General features: G+C 51.9%; 1 long non-coding RNA gene across 2 annotated transcripts, besides 4 other annotated features; it reads left to right on the top strand.

The window, feature by feature from the left end:
• Positions 4,439–4,696: a silencer, noted in NCBI's record as "fragment chr19:3076432-3076689 (GRCh37/hg19 assembly coordinates)". NCBI's record gives its function as "represses an EF-1alpha promoter that drives an FKBP-Casp9 reporter gene in an ReSE screen in phorbol 12-myristate 13-acetate-treated (for megakaryocytic differentiation) K562 erythroleukemia cells {active_cell/tissue: K562(+PMA)}" and the evidence as "EXISTENCE:reporter gene assay evidence [ECO:0000049][PMID:32094911]".
• Positions 5,656–15,184, top strand: LOC105372242 (uncharacterized). 2 transcript variants are annotated; one of them, XR_001754027.2, is made up of 4 exons: positions 5,656–5,769; positions 10,653–10,850; positions 14,304–14,397; positions 15,102–15,184. It is a non-coding gene; the product is annotated as an uncharacterized LOC105372242 (long non-coding RNA). The 2 variants fall into 2 exon arrangements; XR_936250.4 differs by lacking the exon at positions 5,656–5,769 and adding an exon at positions 10,478–10,569.
• Positions 7,565–7,859: an enhancer, noted in NCBI's record as "tiled region #11171; HepG2 Activating DNase matched - State 9:DNaseU, and K562 Activating DNase unmatched - State 5:Enh". NCBI's record gives its function as "activates a minimal TATA promoter and a strong SV40 promoter by Sharpr-MPRA in HepG2 and K562 cells {active_cell/tissue: HepG2 | K562}" and the evidence as "EXISTENCE:reporter gene assay evidence [ECO:0000049][PMID:27701403]".
• Positions 14,053–14,261: a silencer, noted in NCBI's record as "fragment chr19:3066867-3067075 (GRCh37/hg19 assembly coordinates)". NCBI's record gives its function as "represses an EF-1alpha promoter that drives an FKBP-Casp9 reporter gene in an ReSE screen in K562 erythroleukemia cells {active_cell/tissue: K562}" and the evidence as "EXISTENCE:reporter gene assay evidence [ECO:0000049][PMID:32094911]".
• Positions 15,170–15,359: a silencer, noted in NCBI's record as "silent region_9824". NCBI's record gives its function as "represses an Ori minimal core promoter by ATAC-STARR-seq in GM12878 lymphoblastoid cells {active_cell/tissue: GM12878}" and the evidence as "EXISTENCE:reporter gene assay evidence [ECO:0000049][PMID:35858748]".

The following is a 16,912-nucleotide window of genomic DNA, read 5'->3' as shown; positions in this document are numbered from 1 at the left end:
GTCTCTACTAAAAATACAAAAATTAGCCAGGCATGGTGATGCAAGCCTGTAGTCCCAGCTACTGGGGAGCTGAGGCAGGAGGCAGGAGAATCACTTGAACCCGGGAGGCAGAGGTTGCAGTGATCCGAGATCACACTACTGAGCTCCAGCCTGGGCCACAGAGCAAGACTCCATCTCAAATATATATATATATGTGTGTGTATATATATTAAATCTGGCAGGGTGCCATAGTGCACACCTTAATCCCCGCTACTCAGGAGGCTGAGGAGGGAGGATCACTTGAGCCCAGGAGGCCGAGGCTGCAGTGAGCTATGATCGTGCCACAGCACTCCAGCCCAGGCGAGAGAGCAAGACCCTGTCTCTAAAAACTATATATATAAATAAAGAAATGCACTAAATCCGAACGAATGAATGAAGGTTTTGGTTAAGCTCCTTGATTATCCCAATTCTGGCTTCGGGCAAATAACTGAGCCAAGACTTTCTCTTTTAAAAAAACAAACATTAGAAACCATTTCCTCCTGTGAGCAGGTTGAGTTTCTTATTCCCAAGTAAGGGCAAAACAGATTGCACCCAGGGCTGCAGGCTCTGGCCACGCACACGGCCTCCTACAAAGCTTCTGCCCACAGGCTCATCTGATCTTATGATTCGGGAAACACCCGGGACACGGGGTCACAGCTCAGACTCTGCCCCGCCTTTGCTGAATTAGACTGTGCGGAGAGCCAGCCCCAGGAAGCTGCATTTGAAACAAGCCCATTCCGAGCCCAGGGAGGTCTGACCATCCACAGACATCCCCACGCACAGCCAGGGACAGCTCGTGCCCGGTTTCTGCAGACATGGATTTAGTGGAGAAGCCTCTTCATGTTAAAGTCACACTGAATTATTGTTATTTTATTTATGTATTTATTTTTCTGATGGAGCATTATTCTGTTGCCCTGTCTGGAGTACAGTGGCACAATCTCGGCTCGCTGCAACCTTCCTCTCCTGGGTTCAAGCGATTCTTGTGCCTCAGCCTCCTGAGTAGCTGGGACTGCAGGTGCGTGCCACCACGTCTGGCTAATTTTTGTATATCTTAGTAGAGCCGGGGTTTCACCATGTTGGCCAGGCTGGTCTCGAACTCCTGACCTCAAGTGATCCTCCCCACTCAGCCTACCAAAGTGCTGGGATTACAGGCATGAGCCACCACACTCGGCCTTCATAACTGAATTCAAATCTGAGTCAGGGCCTGTCCCTCCTCGGCTCACAGCCCTCCATGGCTCCCACCTTCCTTCAGGAAAAGCCCAAGTCCGCCCCATGGCCCACAAGGGCCTGCACCAGCCCCTCCCCGTCCTCCCCTCCTCCCTGTCTCCCTTTCCTCCAGTCACACAGGTCTCCTTAGTGTTCCTCTAACTAGTCAGGCACAGTCCTACCCCAGGGCCTTTGCACAGCCTGTGCCTTCTGCCTGGAACTGTCTACCCACAGTGTGAGCTCTGTCCCTACACAATGTAACTTTGTCTATCCCTGTTACTCCTTCTAAACCCCTCCTTCTGGGCCTGGCAAGGTGTCTCATGCCTGTAGTCTCAAAACCTTGGGAGGCCAAGGCAGGCACATCACTTGAGGCCAAGCGTTCAAGACCAGCCTGGGCTTGTCAGGGAGAACCTGTCTCCACAAAAAAATAAAATAAAATCTGCCAGGCATGATGGCATACACCTGTAGTCCCAGCTACTCGGGAGGCTGCAGTAATCCCAGCACTTTGGGAGGTAGAGGCAAGGAGATAACCTGAGATCAGGAGTTCGAGACCAGCCTGGCCAACATGGCAAACTCTCGTCTCTACTAAAAATACAAAAACTAGCTGGGTGTGGTGATGCATGCCTGCAATTCCAGGTACTAGGGAGGCTGAGTCACAAGAATTGCTTGAACCCAGGAGGCGGAGGTTGCAGTGAGCTGAGATCATGCCACTGCACTCCAGCCTGGGCGACAGCGAAACTCCATCTAAAAAAAAAAAAAAGAGAGAGAGAGAGAATCCATGAATCTATTTGGAAAATAGACAGATAAATAAAGTGAGAAGGAGGCATTTATATTTATTTATTTACTTTTGAGTCAGAGTCTCACTCTGTCACCCAGGCTGGAGTGCAGTGGTGCAATCATGGCTCACTTCAGCTTCAACCTCCTGGGCTCAAGCTATCCTCCCACCTCAGCCTCCCAAAGTGCTGAGATTACAGGTGTGAGCCACCGTGCCGGGCTACCACTATTTTTTTTTTAATTTATTTTTTTGAGATGGAGTTTTGTTCTTGTCACCCATGCTGGAATGCAATGGCACGATATCGGCTCACTGCAACCTCCGCCTTCCAGGTTCAAGCGATTCTCCTGCCTCAGCCTCCTGAGTAGCTGGGATTACAGGCTCCCACCACCACACCCGGCTAATTTTTGCATTTTTAATAGAGATGGTGTTTCACCATGTTGGCCAGGCTGGTCTTGAACTCCTGACCTCAGGTCATCTGCCCACCTAGGCCTCCCAAAGTGCTGGGATTACAGGTGTGAGCCTTGGTGCCTGGCTCATTCATTTTTTTCTACAGTGGAAGGGCCTGGGGATGTTTCTGGAGTGCGTGATTCCCAGTCGCTATTTTAATTATTATTTTTTTCAGTCTGTGGGTGGAGAAATCAATTCAGTGGATCATGACCCATATATATTTTTTAAATGAAGTAGAATAGGAAACATCACAGTGCGTGGTGCTTTGCAGAGCGAAGAGTTATCTTGTGCAATTTTTATTGGGGTTATGCAGGTACTTAAACCTCTGTCCTGAGTACATGTGTGTATATGTGTGTTTGGGAGGCCGAGGCGGGCGGATCACCTGAGGCCAGGAGTTCGAGACCAGACTGGCCAATATGGCGAAACCCCATCTCTACTAAAAAATACAAAAATTAGCCAGGCATGGTGGCGGGCACTTGGAGTCCCAGCTACTCAGGAGGCTGAGGCAGGAGAATCACTTTTACCTGGGTGGAGATGTGATGGTCAAGAAAAGTTTACAGCTCCCTCACCTCATATAACTGCTTCTTTCTTTCTTTCTTCCTTTCTTTCTTTCTTTCTTCCTTCCTTTCTTTCTTCCTTCCTTCCTTCCTTCCTTCCTTTCTTTCTCTCTCTCTCTCTCTCTCTCTCTCTCTCTTTCTTTCTTTCTTTCTTTCTTTTGAAATGGAGTCTCACTTAGTCACCCAGGCTGGAGTGCAGTGGCGCGATCTCAGCTCACTGCAAACTCCACCTCCTGGGTTCGCGCCATTCTCCTGCCTCAGCCTCCCGAGTAGCTGGGACTACAGGCGCCCGCCACCACACCCGGCTAATTTTTTTGTATTTTTAGTAGAGACGGGGTTTCACTGTGTTAGCCAGGATGGTCTTTATCTCCTGACCTCGTGATCCGCCCATCTCGGCCTCCCAAAGTGCTGGGATTACAGGCGTGAGACACTGCGCCTGGCCATAACTGCTTATTTCATAATTTAAATATATTTATGTGTGGGCTGGGCACGGTGGCTTACACCTGTAATCACAACACTTTGGGAGGCTGAGGTGGGTGGATCATGAGGTCAGGAGTTCAAGACCAGCCTGGCCAATGTGGCAAAACCTCGTCTCTACTAAAAATACAAAAATTAGCAGGGTACAGTGGTAGGTGCCTGTAATCCCAGCTACCCGGGAGGCTGAGGCAGGAGAATAACTTGAACCCGGGAGGTGGAGGTTGCAGTGAGCCGAGATCGTGCCATTGCATTCTAGCCTGGGCGACAACAGCAAGACTCCATCTCAAAAAAACTAAATAAAAATAAAATAAACAAATAAATATTTATATGTGTGATGAGTTGATTCACTAGAAAGGAATTTTTGGCCGGCTGCGGTGGCTCACGCCTGTAATCCCAGCACTTTGGGAGGCTGAGGCAGGCGGACCACGAGGTCAGGAGATCGAGACCATCCTGGCTAACATGGTGAAACCCCGTCTCTACTAAAAATACAAAAAATTAGCTGGATGTGGTGGTGGGCACCTGTAGTCCCAGCTACTCGGGAGGCTGAGGCAGGAGAATGGCATGAACCTGGGAGGCAGAGCTTGCAGTGAACCGAGATCGTGCCACTGCACTCCAGCCTGGTTGACAGAGCGAGACTCTGTCTCAAAAAAAATTAAAAAAAAAAGAAAGGAATTCTCAGGTGGCGGTGATTTTGCACCCCTTGATCAAGAGATTGACAGCAGTGTCTGGGGACATTTCTGGTTGTCGGGACTTGGAGGAGGTGCTGCTGGCATGGAGTGGGTGGATGCCAGGGACTCCGCTCAGGACCCTGCAGTGCCCAAGGCGGCCTCATCCTAGAGGACAATCCAGCCTTGAATGTCCACAGTGTCTAGAATGGGGATCTCTTAGTTAATTATTTGGGGGGAAAATTGAGTCTGCTCCCTGCTCACACCAGAAAGCAGAATAAGCTCCCGATGGGGCAGATGGTACAAACCATGGGGACCCTTGGGATTCACCTCCTCTCTCCCTCCCCACTCAGGGTGTGGATTTCAATGTGTGTAGCCACCTGGGACCTCAGCAGGGCAGAGGATCATGGGATCCAGAGTCTCTTGGGGGTCTGCGGAATCCCCTAACCCAGGGATTCTAACCTGGAGGATGATTCTGCTCCCAGGGGGCACTGGGTGATGTCTGGGGACATCTGTGGTTGTCACGACTGGGGCGTGCGCCTGGCATGGAGTGAGTGGAGGCCAGGGACGCTGCTCAGCACCCTGCAGTGCCCAGGACAGCCCCACCCCAGAGAACCATCCCTCCCGTAAAGTCCACGGTGAGAAAGCATGGATAAGACTCTCTGATTTACTGAGCTGTCCCAGCACACAGCCTGGCACACAGCAGGTGCTCGCAAAGGATTTGTAAGCCGAGGGGCTGCTGTCTCCAAACCCCCAGCGGCCTGGCTCACCCTCCTGGGGAGAGGGCAGGTGCAGGCGACCTGAGCCAAGGTGCGCGAGATCCTGATGACACACTGCCCCCGTGTGGGCATCCGTGGAACAGCGGCCGGCGGCACGGGCGCCGCGTGGGTGGGGGGCGGGGAGCGTTTGCACCCGGGGAGGTCTCCGCGCTGCGCGGCCCGCTAGGACTTTCTGCCACATCGCCTACATTCTAGCTCCGTGGCGTCCCACGTGGTGGTCACTGGTGGGCTGCTGAGCCCCTGAACCGTGGCCAGGGCAACTGAGGAAATGCATCTTTCATCTCATTTTTATCTATCTATCTATCTATCTATCTATCTATCTACAGCTTGTCACTGCTACCTAGGCTGGAATGCAGGGCCGCGATCATAGCTCACAGCAGCCTCGACCTCCTGGGTTCAATCAATCCTCCCGCCTCGACCTCCCAAAGCGCTGGGGTTAATTACAGCCTGGCCCGTTTCCATCCATCTCAGTGTAAACCTAAGTAACCATGCATGGTTGGTGGCTATCGAGCTCTGGAATGAGGTCTCTCCCCTGGCCGCTGTGGACATTTGGAGCCAGATAGTTCTCTGGGATGAAGCCGTCTTGGGCACTGCAGGGTGCTGAGCAGCATCCGTGGCCTCCACCCACTCCATGCCAAGAGTACCCACCATTGTGACAACCACAAATGTCCCCAGACATCACCCAGTGCCCCCTGGGAGCAGAATCACCCTGGTTGAGACCCCCTGGGTTATGGGATTCCACGGACCCCCCCAAGAGACTCTGTGTCCCATGATCATCTGCCCTACTGGGTCTAGGAGGCTGTACACATTGAAATCCACACCCTCAGTGGGGAGGGAGAGAGGAGGTGAGTCCCAGGAGCTGGGGCCCCCTGGTTTACGCTGTCTGGCCCATTGGGAGTTTATCCTGGTCTCTGGTGTGAGCAGAGATTGGACTCAATTTTTGTGGCTCATGCCTGTAACCCCAGGTCTTTGGGAGGCTGAGGTGGGCGGATCATTTGAGGTCAGGAGTTCAAAACCAGCCTGGCCAAACTGGTGAAACCCCATCTCTACTAAAAATACAAAAATCAGCTGGGTGTGGTCATGGGCAGCTGGAATGCCAGCTACTCGGGAGGCTGAAGCAGGAGAATTGCTTGAGCCTGGGAGGTGGACGTTGCAGTGAGCCAAGATCATGCCACTGCACTCCAGCCTGGGCAACAGAGCAAGACTCTGTCTCAAAAAAACAAACAACAAAAAACCCCACAAAATTTGGCCAGGTACAGTGGCTCACAAATGTGATCCCAACAATTTGGGAGGCCGAGGCAGGTGGATCGATTGAGCCCAGTATTTCAAAACCAGTCTGGGTAACATAGGGAGACCCCTTCTCTACAAAAAAATTTAAAATTAGCCAGGTGTGGTGGTGTGCACCTGTAGTCCCAGCTACTCAGGAAGCTGAGCTGGGAGGATCATTTGAGCCTGGGAGGTGGAGGCGCAGTGAACTATGATCATGCACTGCACTCCAGCCTGGGGGACAGAGCCAGACCCTGTCTCTGAAATTTAAAAAAAAAAAAAAAAAAAAAGTAGTAATAACTGCGCCTACCTTGAAGGCCTGGATCAGTGCTGGGGCTCTGAGAAAATTTGGTAAACCTCAGCCATTTATGATAAAGGGGATGATTATTTTGCTGGGAGGAGAGGTTAGAGGTATCTGAGTAACAGAGCAAGAATAGTGGCTCTGGCTCCTACAGGACCATAGTATATGCCCACAGCCCACTAGATAGATGGGAAAGCAGATAGATGGGACCAGAGAGGGACAGCCACTTGTCCAGAGACACAGAGCCCACCTGTCGTAAAGCTGAGGCTGGCACTTACCCCTTGGGTGTCTATGGGGAGGCAATGGGGCCTCTGGAGGGCAGGCCAAGTAGGCAGCCACACTTCCCTGCTCCCCACAGTCCCCCGGTATCCCCAGGGAGACATCTGCAGGAGTCAGCCTACTAATCACCTAATTAGTGCACAGCCCCCGGGAAATGCTGGGAACACCTTTTAAAGGCCCTTAAACACCCCAACAGTGACTCACAGTCCTGCCAACACCAGGCTCCCAAGGCCGGCAGCTGGGGGCGCTGGGGACGGTGAAAAGCACAAAAACAAAACACATTTGGCCCAGTGCAGTGGCTCATGCCTGTAATCACAACACTTTGGGCAGCCAAGGGGGGGCGGGTGGCTTGAGTCTAGGAGTTCAAGACCAGCCTGGGCAACATAAAAAGACCCCCATCTCAAAACCACAACAGGCCAGGCGTGGTGTCTCATGCCTGTAATCCCTGCACTTCGGGGAACTGAGGCGGGCAGATCACGAGGTCAGGAGTTCGAGACCAGCCTGGCCTACATGGTGAAATACCATCTCTAGAAAAATACAAAAATTAGGCCAGGCGCAGTGGCTCATGCCTGTAATCCCAGCACTTTGTGCGGCCGAGGCGGGTGGATCACGAGGTCAGGAGATTGAGACCATCCTGGCCAACATGCTGAAACCCTGTCTCTACTAAAAATATAAAAATTAGACAGGTGTGGTGGCATGCGCCTGTAGTCCCAGCTACTTGGATGCTGAGGAAGGAGAATCACTTGAACCCGGGAGGTGGAGGTTGCAGTAAGCCAGGATCATGCCACTGCACTCCAGCCTGAGCAACATAATGAGACTCCATCTCCCCCCTCCAAAAAAAAAAAAAAAAAAAGATTGAAATGGAAAAGTCATGTGACCCAAGATTGGCCAATCAGAGTATTCCAGCCAGAACATAGGGATTATATCAGGGATGTCATGTCACCTAAGCCTGGCCAATGAGAATGAGTCCTGAGACATGCTGTAATTAAGCAGAAGGAATTGGCTGGAGTTGCTGAGCTGGGAGGATGAAAGCTTACAGCTGCTGGGGAACGGTGTTTGTTTGCTGCCATGGGAGACAGCTGTCCCAGCTATGCACAGTGACACAGGATCCCGATAATGTTGGAGCCCCTGGATCAAGCCATGCCTGAAGTCAGCCCTAATGTCATGAATGTTCAGTTCCATGGACTTAAGCCATTCCGTTTTTTTTTTTTTGTTATTGTTATTCCGTTGTCACATCCACTCAAAAAATACGACGTGAGATGAGAGACTGCTGCACTGAACAAGTTGATGGGGATATGAGCCAGGATGGTAACCCTATAGTTAGTGGGAATTGATTGGATTCTGGGTATATTGGTAAAGCTGGAGCCAATGGGATTGCTGAGGGATTATAACCACATATGTTTGTATAGTGATTTTATTAATGTCTGGCTCCCCTGCTAGGCTGTAAGGTTGGAGCTATGTGGGTCACTGTATCCCTAATATCTAGACGAAGACCAGGCGTGCAAGTGTTCAATAAAGCCATGTTGTGTGACAGAGCTCTGGGGGTGGAGAGGAAGGCAGACAAAATCCATGATCGCCCCTTTGTGAGCCACAGTTTCCTCATCTGGAATATGGGGATAATAAATAATTACTGTCAGCCAGGCACAGTGGCTCACGCCTGTAATCCCAGTACTTTGGGAGGCCAAGGCAGGTGGATCACCTGAGGTCAAGAGTTTGAGAGCAGCCTGGTCAACATGGCAAAACCCTGTCTCTACTAAGAATAAAAAATTAAGGCAGGGCACGGTGGCTCACGCCTGTAATCCCAGCACTTTGGGAGGCTGAGGCGGGCGGATCACAAGGTCAGGAAATCGAGACCCTCCTGGCCAACATGGTGAAACCCCATATCTACTAACATACAAAAAATTAGCCAGGCATGGCGGCACACTCCTGTAATCCCAGCTGCTGGGGAGGCTGAGGCAGGGGAATCACTTGAACCCAGAAGGTGGAGGTTGCAGTGAGCCAAGATCGCGCCACTGCACTCCAGTCTGGCAACAGAGCAAGACTCCGTCTCCAAAAACAAACAAACAAAAAAACACAAAAATTAGCCAGGCATGGTGGCACACATCTTTAATCCCAGCCATTTGGGAGGCTGAGGCAGGAGAATTGCTTGAACTCGGGAGGAGAGGCAGAGGTTGCAGTGAGCCGAGATCCAGATCATGCCACTGCACTCCAGCCTGGGGGACAGAGCAAGACTCCATCTCCAGATAAATAAATACTAACTCATTCTTTCATTTCACTAAGACCTGATGTTTGCACTGAGTAGAAATTCTTTGCCAGACCCCAAGCTGTGCCCTGGGACACAGCAGTGCAGAAGGCAGTCCGCTCCTTACTCTCATGGATCTTTCAGGGTGACAGATAATAAAGATGACAGCTGGCCTGCCTGGTGGCTCACGCATCTAGTCCCAGCACTTTGAGGGGCTGAGGTGGGAGGGTCACTTGAGGCCAGGAATTCGAGGCTGCAATCAGCTATGATGGCACCACTGTTCTCCAGCCTGCATGACAGCCCAAGACACTGACTAAAAAAATAAAATAAAATTAGGCCAGGCACGATGGTTCATGCCTGTAATCCCAGCACTCTGGAAGGCCAAGGTGGGAGGACTGCTTGACCCCAAGAGTTCAAGACAAGCCTGGGCAACATAGTGAGACCCTGACTCTTGGAAAAAAAAAAAAATCAGCCCAGCCAGGGTGCAGTGGCTCACACCTGTAATTCCAGCACTTTGGGAAGCTGAGGCAGGCAGATCACCTGAGGTCAGGAGTTGGAGACCAGCCTGGCCAACAAGGTGAAATCCCATCTCTACTAAAAATACAAAAATTGGGCCAGGCGCGGTGTCTCATGCCTGTAATCCCAGCACTTTGGGAGGCTGAGGCGGGGGGGATCACCTGAGGTCAGGAGTTCGAGACCAGCCTGACTAACATGGAGAAACCCCGTCTCTACTAAAACTACAAAATTAGCCGGGCGTGGTGGCACATGCCTGTAATCTCAGCTACTAAGGAGGCTGAGGCAGGAGAATCACTTGAACCCGGGAGTCGGAGGTTGCAGTGAGCCGAGATCATGCCACTGCACTCCAGCCTGGGTGACAGAGCGAGACTCCGTCTCAAAAATAAATAAATATCAAAATGTTAAATAAACATAAATAAATAAAAATAGATAACAATAAAATAGAGTGATATAATAACAATATTTTTTGTTTTTTCCATATGACTGGTTAGAGAAGGCCTCTCAGAGGAAGTAATTGTCCAGGCCAGGCCTGCTGGCCCACACCTGTAATCCCAGCACTTTGGGAGGCTGAGGCGGGTGGATCACGAGGTCAGGAGATCAAGACCATCCTGGCTAACACAGTGAAACCCCGTCCCTACTAAAAATACAAAAAATTAGCCGGGCGTGGTGGCGGGCGCCTGTAGTCCCAGCTACTCAGGAGGCTGAGGCAGGAGAACGGCGTGAAACCGGGAAGCGGAGTTTGCAGTGAGCAGAGATCCGGCCACTGCACTCCTGCCTGGGCGAGAGAGCAAGACTCTGTCTCAAAAAAAAAAAAAAAAAAAGAAAAAGAAAAAAGAAAAGTCATGTGACCCAAGGCTGGCCAATCAGAGCATTCTACTCGAGCCATAAAATTTGTCTCAAGGATGTCATGTGACCCAGGGCTGGCCAATCAGAACATTGTACTCAGGCCATAAGGTGTAGATTAAGGATGTCAGGAGCCAACTGGGTGCTGTGTGCTAATTACTTCCAGGGTCTTATCTCATTTAATTCTGCAACAACCTGGTGTGTCATCTTAACCCATTCATTTATTCATTCACTCATTCAGTAACTATTGGGCATTTATACTGAGCCAGGCCCTGTTCTAGGTATTGAGGATACAAAAGTGACCAGGACTCACCAAACCCCCTGCCTCCCGGGGCCTACATTCAAGAAAGTAAACACACAAACCGCATTACACGTCAGACAGTGCTGTGTCCCATGGAGCAGGGAAAACGCTGACCTCATGACCTGCACGCGGAATATGGGTTGAGGCCTCTATGAGCTGGGCCTAGGAGGCAGTCTGAGTGAGTTATGCAAGATTTTTATTTAACATTTTGATATTTTGTTCATTGTGGATTTTTTTTCATTAATTTTGATTTGTTAAAATATTGTTGGCTGGGCGCGGTGGTTCATGCCGGTAATCCCAGCACTTGGGAAGGGGAGGTGAGTGGATCACAGAGGTTGCAGTGAGCCGAGATTGCGCCATTGCACTCCAGCCTGGGCGACAGAGCCAGACTCCGTCAAAAAAAAAAAAAAAAAAAAAAAGTGGGCCGGTCGTGGTGGCTCACGCCTGTAATCCCTGCACTTTGGGAGGCCGAGGGGGGTGGATCACGAGGTCAGGAGATTGAGAGCATCCTGGCTAACACGGTGAAACCCCGTCTCTACTAAAAATGCAAACAAAATTAGCCAGGCGTGGCGGCGTGCGCCTGTAGTCCCAGCTACTCGGGAGGCTGAGGCAGCAGAGTGGCGTGAACCCGGGAGGCGGAGCTTGCAGTGAGCCGAGATCATGCCACTGCACTCCAGCCTGGGCGACAGAGCGAGACTCTGTCTCAAAAAACAAAACAAACAAACAAAAAAACACGTAGATTGCATCAAAACAGTGTTTATCCTGATGACTTAGGTATTTGGCATCCCCTTAACTTTTTTTTTCTTTCTTTTTTTTTTTTCTTTTGAGACGGAGTCTCACTCTGTTGCCCAGGCTGGAGTGCAGTGGTGCGATCTCGGCTCACTGCAAGCTCCACCTCCCGGGGTCACGCCATTCTCCTGCCTCAGCCTCCCGAGTAGCTGGGACTACAGGCACCCGCCACCACGCCCGGCGTGTGTGTGTGTGTGTGTGTGTGTGTGTGCGCGCACGCCAGGATGGTCTCCATCTCCTAGCCTTGTGATCCGCCAGTCTCGGCCTCCCAAAGTGCTGGGATTACAGGCGTGAGCCACCGCGCCCAGCCTTCTTTCTTTTTTTTGAGACAGGGTCTCACTCTGTCACCCACGCTGGAGTGCAATGGTGTGATTTTGGCTCACTGCAGCCTCAGCCTCCCGGGCTAAAGCAATCCTCCCACCTCAGCCTCCTGAGTGGCTGGGACAACAGGCACACGCCACCACACCTGGCTAATTTTTGTTTGTTTGTTTTTTGTAGAGTTGGGGTTTCACCATGTTACCCAGGCTGGTCTTGAACTTCTGGGATCAAGCAATCTGCCCTCCTTGGCCTCCCAAAGTGCTGAGATTACAGGCGTGAGCCACCTCACCCTGCCTCTCTTAAGTTTTATGCCTTAAGAAAGGACCTCACTCCCAGGTACATTCACCCTGGTCCTAGCCCTGCCTCAGTCAAATAGGGAAGCTGAAGGCAGCTTCATTGAGAGAGTGACACTTCAATCAAGAATGGGGCCAGGTGCAGTGGCTCACGCCTGTAATCCCAGCACTTTGGGGGGCCGAGGCGGGTGGATCACCTGAGGTCAGGAGTTCAAGACCAGCCTGGCCAACATGGAGAAACACCATCTCTACTAAAAATACAAACAATTAGCCAGGCGTGGTGGCTCACGCCTGTAATCCCAGCTATTCGGGAGGCTGAGGCAGGAGAATCGCTTGAACCTGGGAGGCAGAGGTTGCAGTGAGCCGAGATCGTGCCACTGCACTGCAGCCTGGGCAACAAGAGCTAAACTCCGTCTCCAAAAATATAAATAAATAAAAGTTTTAAGCTTATCAGCTCCAAAAGGTGGAGTGGGGGGATTTCTCTCCTTGGTCACTGCTCAGAACCTCCACTTACAAGCATGCCTGACACACAGTAACTGCTCTCTAAGTATCTGAAGCTGCATTTGGGAGTAGCAGTGGGGTGACCCTAAGGTCTTGAGCAGTGAGCTCTCATGGCCCCACGTCACCCGGCCAGGTAGCAGCAGTCCGGGAGCTCAACCCCAGGGCTGGACAGCTGAGTCCTACCTCCACCCGGGCCCAGCAGAGGGAGGTCCCTGCTTCTGCACGGCGGCCACCTGTTTCCTCCCCGGCCTGTGATTAATGGCCATGCGGCCCCATCCATCACGCGCCAGCGCCAGGCTCTGCCCTGGAGGCCGCGGGGCCCAGCGCTCATTTGTAACCAGGCCTTGAGCCTGGTCTCAGACGATTGGATCCATGAGACAGATCCCCGCCCCGCCTTGGCCCCAGATGTGGCCCTGAGAATCCCAGGGAGAGGAAGGACCGTGAGCCGGACACGTGGGGTCAGGGACGGGGGTGGGGGGTTATGTGTGTGGGGTAGGGGGGCTCAGTGGCAGCCACCCAGACACTGTGATGTGCTTAAACCCCAATTCTCGCCAATTAATTACACATTCCCTCCTGCGGCAAGCTGTCTGCCCTTCCTCACCCTCCCGCCATCTGCATTCTGTTCTTGTTATGCTCCCCAAAAAAGCTCTTTGCCATGGGCCCAGCCCAGGCTGCCCATCTCTCGCCTAATCCTCCCATCACACTACCGGGGAGAATCTTCTACCACCAGCTGCCCTGTTTCTTCCATGCTCTAAGCCAGGGGTGCTCATTCTCGTGTCATTGTGCCCCCCACGGGACACTGGGTGATGTCTGGGGACACCTGTGGGCGGAACATCTCGGGGGTGCCCCTGGCATGGAGTGAGTAGAGGCCAGGGACACCGCTCAGCACCCTGCAGTGCCCAGGACGCCCCTTGCCCCCCAAGAGAATGAATGATCTGGGCCAGAATGTCCAAAAAGCAGACTTTGCTATTTGACTGAGGCAGGGCTAGGACCAGGATGAGTGTACTTGAGAGTGAGGTCCTTTTTTTTTTTCTTCTTTTTTTGAGATGGAGTTTCATTCTTGTCGCCCAGGCTGGAGTGCAATGGTGTGATCTCGGCTCACCGCAACCTCTGCCTCCTGGGTTCAAGCGATTCTCCTGCCTCAGCCTCCTGAGCAGCTGGTATTACAGGCACCCACCACCACGCCCGGCTAATTTTGTAGTTTTAGTAGAGACGGGGTTTATCCATGTTGGTCAGGCTGGTCGCGAACTCCCGACCTCAGATGATCTGCCCGCCTCGGCCTCCCAAAGTGCTGGGATTACAGGTGTGAGCCCGCCCGGCCGAGAGTGAGGTCCTTTTTTCAGGTGTCAAACTTAAGAGGGGCCAGGCGTGGTGGCTCACACCTGTAATCCCAGCACTTTGGGAGGCCCAGGAGGGCAGACTGCTGGAGCCCAGAAGTTCAAGACCAGTCTGGGTAACATGGTGAAACCCCATCTCTATGAAAAACAAAAATTAGCCGGGCGTGGTGGCACACGCTTTTCATCCCGGATACTCGAGAAGCTGAGGTGGGCAGATTGCTTGAGCCTGGGAGGTCGAGGCTTCAGTGAGCCGAAGTCACACCACTGCGCTCCAGCGTGGGTGACAGAGTAAGAACCCTGTCTCAAAAAAAAATAAAAAAGCTAAGGGGATGCCAAATACCTAAGTCATCAGGATAAACACTATTTTGATGCAATCTACTTTTATTTTTTGAGATGGAGTCTCCCTCTGTCGCCCAGGGTGGAATGCGATGGCGCTAACTGAAGAATCTTGCTCTAAAACCTCCTGTGGCTCCCTAGTGCCCTCCAGGTAAAATCCCAGCTCCTCAGCCCAGCAGCACGTGCTGCCATCGTGTCCCGGCCAGAAGCCACACTGCAGAGTGCTCAAAGGCCCAAGGTCAAGATCAAAGGCCTGGGATAACATCGTGGTTCTGCCCCCTACCCACTTGGCCAAGTCACTTCACTTCTCTGTGACTCACTTTCCCCATTTTTTTTCGTTTTCTTTTTTTTTATTTTTTATTTTTGGAGACAGAGTCTCATTCTGTCGCCCAGGCTGGAGTGCAGTGGCACGATCTCGGCTCACTGAAACCTCCGCCTTCCGGGTTCAAGCGCTTCTCCTGCCTCAGCCTCCAGAGTAGCTGGGATTACAGGCGCCCACCACCACGCCTTAATTTTTGTATTTTTAGTAGAGACGGGGTTTCGCCATGTTGGCCAGGCTAGTATCAAACTCCTGATCCTCAAGTGATCTGCTTGCCTCGGCCTCCTAAAGTGCTGGGATGACAGGCCTGAGCCACCCTGCCGGCCTGTTTTCCCCCCATCTCTAAAATGGGTGTGACAACTGTACCTAAAGGTTAAAGTGCTTAAGGCAGCCCCTGGTGCGGAGCAAAAACATACAGACCTGTGTGGCTTGGTTGATTATTTATAGTGTGGGCCACCATTCTGGGCTGCCTTCTATGCAGAAAAAAAACCTATTTTCTAAAAACGATGATTTCACAATGACTCTCTCCTTCACAGGCCTAGGTCCCTGTGGGTGGCCCAGCCCTCACCTCACCGTGCTCAAGGTATCTGTGTCCAGTTCTGCTTCCCCTGACAGTGTGGGGGCTTCGAAAATGGGGCTGTTTGGTCACTGGGCGGGCACACTGATACCGGAAGGCGCCTGCCTAAATAAACACTGGCAGGTGGCCTCCCAGGAGAGGGGGTGTCTGGTCCCCACGGCAGTGGGGGTGGGGTGGCAGGGGTGCTAGCGGCAGGACTGGCTTCAGGGGCAGTCTAGGAACGCAGTCTCTCAGGGCCCTGCAGGAAAAACAAGGGTGTTGCGGTTGGTTGAAGGCTTGGCTGTTACTAAGTAGTATTAATCTCTGTTTCTTTGTTTCTTTTTTTTTTGAGACAGAGTTTCGCTCTTGTCGCCCAGGCTGGAGTGCAGTGGCACAATCTTGGCTCACCGCAACCTCCACCTCCCAGGTTCAAGCAATTCTCCTGCCTCAGCCTCCCAAGTGGCTAGGATTACAGGCGTGAGCCACCATGCCAGGCTAATTTTGTATTTTTAGTAGAGACGGAGTTTCTCCATGTTGGTCAGGCTGGTCTCAAGCTCCTCACCTCAGGTGATCCGCCTGCCTCGGCCTCCCAAAGCGCTGAGATTACAGGTGTGAGCCACCACACCCGGCCACCAAGTAGTAGTAATCTTAAAAATCCAAAATCCTAATCCTTTCTAGCCTCATCTTTTTTTTTTTTTTTTTTTTGAGACAGAGTCTCACTCTGTCACCCAGGCTGGAGTACAGTGGCGCGATCTTGGCTCACTGCAACCACCACCTCCCAGCTTCCAGCGATTCTCCTGCCTCAGCCTCCAAGTAGCTGGAATTAGAGGCGCCCGCCAAAACACCCCGGTAATTTTTGTATTTGTAGTAGTGACGAGGTTTCACCATGTTGGCCAGGCTGGTCTCGAACTCCTGAGCTTGTGATCCACTGGCCTCGGCTTCCCAAAGTGCTGGGACTACAGGCATGAGCCACTGCTCCCGGCTTACAAAAAATGTTAAAATTAGCTGGGCATGGTGGTGCACTCCTGTAGTCCCAGCTACTCAGGATGCTGAGGTCGGAGGATCACTTGAGCCCAGGAGTGGGAGGCTGCAGTGAGCTATGATTGCACCACTGCACTCTAGCCTATGCAACAGAGGACTGTGTCTGAAAAAATTTTTTTAGGCCGGGTGTGGTGGCTCGCGCCTGTAATCCCAGGACTTTGGGAGGCCGAGGCAGGCAGATCACGAGGTCAGGAGATCGAGACCATCCTGGCTAACACAGTGAAACTCCGTCTCTACTAAAAATACAAAAAATTAGCCGGGCGTGGTGGTGGGCGCCTGTAGCCCCAGCTACTCGGGAGGCTGAGGCAGGAGAATGGCATAAACCCGGGAGGTGGAGCTTGCAGTGAGCCGAGATGGCACCACTGCACTCCAGCCTGGGCCACACAGTGAGACTCCACCTCAAAAAAAAAATTTTTTTTTAATAAAAATATTAAAACACTGCTTTAAAGATTATTAATCTTGATCACTGAAGGCTATCACCCTTACCTGCCAAGGTAAGGAGCCTGGGGTTCCAAGTCTATTTTACAGATGGGAACACCCAAGGCCCAAATCAATTGCATTCATTCAAGGGAGCAGGCTGCCTAGTGGATGACGATGATGAAGAGACTGTGTTTCGCACCTGCCAAAGGGGGACCTTAATGTCATAGCCTTATTTCAGTAGCCTCTTTGGGACCTGTTCTCTGCGTGGCAGAGAGAGGGATCCTTTAATAACCGCCACCAGGTCCCATCCCTCCTCTTCCCACGGCTCTC

The sequence above is a fragment of the Homo sapiens genome, chromosome 19 (genome assembly GCF_000001405.40).
Source record: "Homo sapiens chromosome 19, GRCh38.p14 Primary Assembly".
Classification (NCBI taxonomy): Eukaryota; Metazoa; Chordata; class Mammalia; order Primates; family Hominidae; genus Homo; species Homo sapiens.
This window is presented reverse-complemented; position numbering and strand designations above follow the sequence as displayed.